The sequence below is a fragment of the Homo sapiens genome, chromosome 8 (genome assembly GCF_000001405.40).
Source record: "Homo sapiens chromosome 8, GRCh38.p14 Primary Assembly".
Classification (NCBI taxonomy): domain Eukaryota; kingdom Metazoa; phylum Chordata; class Mammalia; order Primates; family Hominidae; genus Homo; species Homo sapiens.
In genome coordinates, this window is record NC_000008.11 from 105,010,133 (window position 1) to 105,014,178 (window position 4,046).

Here is a 4,046-nt window from a genome sequence, read left to right on the forward strand (position 1 = left end):
TTTTGTCTGCCTAACCAGTTGTCCTTTCCGTTGTCCACTTGTTTGCCTTGTACACATTTTTTTCTACTCTTGTTCCTTAGAATAGGATTCTGTCCTATTCTGTTACCCTGCTTTTTTCCTTTACTTTAAACTTGGAAGGCAATCCTACCCTCAAAAAAGAGAAGAGATCCTAAACCAAACTCTGTTCACCCAAAACAGATGTAAAGGATACTTTATAACACCTATGTACATGCCATTCCAAAATGAAAAAATATTGACATTTAGTCATCTTTGATTCAGCACATCTTTAGAAAATATTAATAAAACACTACAGATATATTCATCAACAATATTTTTGTTTTGTACGTATTTTTAAATTTACATAATTTGTATTATACCACACATAATACTGTGCTGTTTGCTTTTTTTAATGAGATCTTATGCATTTGAGATCTGAATTGATTAATATCATGTATTCCCAGTAGCTGGGACTATAGGCATGCTTCCACCACGTCAGGCTAATTTTTGTTTTTGTAGAGACAGGGTCTTGCTACATTGCCCAGGCTGGTCTCAAACTCCTGGCCTCAAGCAAGTCTCCTGCCTTGGCCTCCCAAAGTGCTAGAATTACAGATATGAGCCACTGCACCGTGCTCAATATTTTCTCCTAATAGTTTTAGTTATATTTTTCACATTAAGATCTTTTTATACATTTAGACTTCATTTTTGTTTTATTTGTTTATAGTGTGTGTCGCAGATGCTGCTGACATTGTCTACACCTACCTAAGCTCTCCTGCAGCTTAAGAGAATTTCTGCAAGCTGACTATCCCCTTAAAAGTATTTGCATCTCTCTTCTGTGCATGGGAGGCTTCTCTGACACAAGACAGGTATCAAGATCCTGGACAGGTGTTGGGGGAGTTGATGCCCTGGGGCAACCTTCAAAAATGAGATCTATAGTGGTTCTAGGCATTTCAGGAGCCACGGCTTAAGGTGCAGACATGGCCAAGTCCAAGAATCACACCACACACAATCAGTCTCGAAAATGGCCCAGAAATGGCATCAAGAAACCCTGACCACAAAGATACGAATCTCTTAAGGAGGTGGACCCCAAGTTCCTGAGAATCATGTGCTTTGCCAAGAAGCACACCAAGAAGGGCCTAAAGAAGATGCAGGCCAACAATGCCAAGGCCATGAGTGCACTTGCCAAGGCTATCAAGGCCCTTGTAAAGCCCAAGGAGGTTAAGCCCAAGATCCCAAAGAGTGTCAGCTGCAAGTTCGATTGACTTGCCTATATTGCCCACCCCAAGCTTGGGAAGCATGCTTATGCCCACATTGCCAAGGGGCTCAGTCTGTGCCAGCCAAAGGCCAAGGATCAAACCAAGGCCCAGGCTGCAGCTCCAGCTACAGTTCCAGCTCAGGCTCCCAAAGGTGCCCAGTCCCCTATAAAAGCTTCAGAGTAGAGATCTCTGTCTGCCAACGTGAGGACAGAAGGACTGGTGTGACCCCCTTGGGCTGCCGTCTGCATAGGGCTGGTGTCCTCCTATGCTATTTGTACAAATAAAACTGAGGAGGGAAAAAAAATGGAATCCATAGATAAATGTTAGTTTCCCATCTTCTGGGGGACAATCTTAAGGAGTATATGCCACATGTTTTCTCCAAATTCACAGTGAGGATTAAGCTCCAATTTTCATTAACAGCAATCTGTTCATTAACACACCTTTTGTTAACTTTACTCTTCTCACTTTCTCCCGCTTCCTCACTTGAGCCACCAAAGATTGCCTCCAAGTAAACTGCTTGCACCCAAGTCTTCATCTCAGGGTCTGCCAAGCTAAGACACTGTGTGAGACTTTCTACTTTTATTTTTGGAAAGCCATTTTTCTCAATGCCATATATGGAGAAAATCCACTCTTTCTGCACAGATTTGAAGAAGATAATCTCTTATGAGCTTGGTTCCATTTTCCACCTCTCTATTCTACTATTCCATTCATATATTTCCACCAGTACTGCACTGTTTTAATATTCTGCCTTCAATACATGTTTCTTATCCTGCTATGCGAGTTTTTACCCCACTTTTCCTTAGAGAATATCTTACCTGTTTTAGTCCTTTATGCTTTCCAAATCAATTTTAGAATCACTTTGTCATGTTCCATAAAAGATTCCAACAGGATTTACACTGGAATTTTATGGAATTTATATATTGATGTTAAGATCATTTGTCCTTATAAAACTGAATCTTCCTGTACATGACAAATAAACATGCCACATCCCTTCATTTAATGAGAAATTCAATTAAGTCTTTCTGGAATTTTTTTTTAAATTTCTCTATAAAGACTTTGAACACCTGTTACGAAATGTATTATTGGTTTACAGTATTTATTCTCTATAATCAATGTTATTTTTTGTTCTATTATATTTTCTAAGTAGTTAATGCTGCTTCCACTGCTGCATGCTCATCATTAATCCTTGCCATTAATGGCAAGTATTAATTTAGCCTTAGCTCTGTGCCAAGCACTATAGTAATTGTTGAGGATACAGTAGTAAGCAAGACAGTTGGTCTTGCTCTCTAGGAGCTTCCAGTCCAATGGGGTAAGATGTCTCTTATTAGTGAGTACTCACAAATGCTCCAAAAAATGATAGTATACTAGGAAAGAACATGACTTGGAGCAATAAGATTCAGGAAAGGCATCTCTGAGCAGAAACATGAATATGATGAGGAAGAAAGTTACTCAGTATCTTGAGGGAAAATCCTTCCTAGCAGAGGAAATAGCAAATGTTGAGGCCCTACAACAGACAAATTCTCAGTATACTAATATTTTATCCAAAAATCTCAATGAACTATCTTAATTATTCTCATTAATTAATTAGAATTTCTATTGCATTTCTACACAATTCTGCTATCTAAAAATAATAAAGGAGTATTACTTCCTTACCAATCTCTATAATATTTATTTCTTTTTCTTATTTTATGAGATTGACTGAAAAGTCCAGTACAATGTTAAGGAAAGAGAGATAGTAAATAACTTTAATAAGAATATGTCTAAATGCTTAAAATATCTTTAGTAAAAAAAACCATTTATAAGGTTAAAGAAGCTCTTTTTCTTATCATCTTACTATTTTTTAAATTGGTAATAAGTAGTACATTTTTCTGCAGGACTTTTAATAAAAATTAGCAGTCACCTTGGCCACTCCTCTCAACTCTGATTCCTATCCTAAGATGCACCAATTTTAACCTTTTCCCTCTTGTTTTTAGAATTTCCTCCACATTTTTGAATAATACATTACTATGGTTATTTCTTTGTTTTTTTAGTTGTAGACATTGTTTTAGAGTTCCTGCTAGAGGAGCTTAGGATTTAGTTCTGTTTTTAGCACTCCATTCACACTTCTTTTACCCCCTTCTTCTGATGACAGATATATCAAAATTTTTGTTAATAAAATATTCAGTGTTTTTATGATATGTGGATACAGATATCTAGATATACATTTCACAGCCAAGTCATATAGTATACTATGTGTACATTTCTCATGTGACATTTTGTTTCTTTCCTTCCTTGTTTCTGTGGAGCACATCCTTCAGTAGCTTCCTGAAAAAGGATGCCAGTGGGAGGCAATACATATTTTAGATCTTTATTAAGTGTAAAAGTCTTTATTTCTACCCTCATACTTGATTGGGAATATGATTGGAAAGAGAATTCTGTAATCAAATTGCTTTTCCTCAGAATTATGAGGGTTATTTTTGCATTGTCCTCTAGTTGCCAGTGTTGCTGTTAAAATGTCTGATGTCATTCTAATTTTTAACACATTTTGTATGATTTTTTTCTCACTAGAAACAAATGTTAAGTTCTTATCACTAGAAACTTTTAAGATCTCCTTATCCTTAGTGTCTTGAAATTCCATGATAATGTTGCTCGAAGTCTGTGTATGTGTGTGTTTGTTCTCATATTCATTGTGATAGGCACTCAGTAGGGCTTTTCATTTTGAAGACTCATACCCTTCAGTTATGGGAATTTTTTTTGTCTCTAGTCTTTGACAATTTTCTCCTTCCTGTTTCTCTGTTCTTTCTTTCTGAACTC

The 4,046-nt window shown here is 36.7% G+C and overlaps 1 pseudogene; it reads left to right on the forward strand.

The window, feature by feature from the left end:
- On the forward strand, positions 935 to 1,550 carry RPL29P18 (ribosomal protein L29 pseudogene 18; annotated as a pseudogene).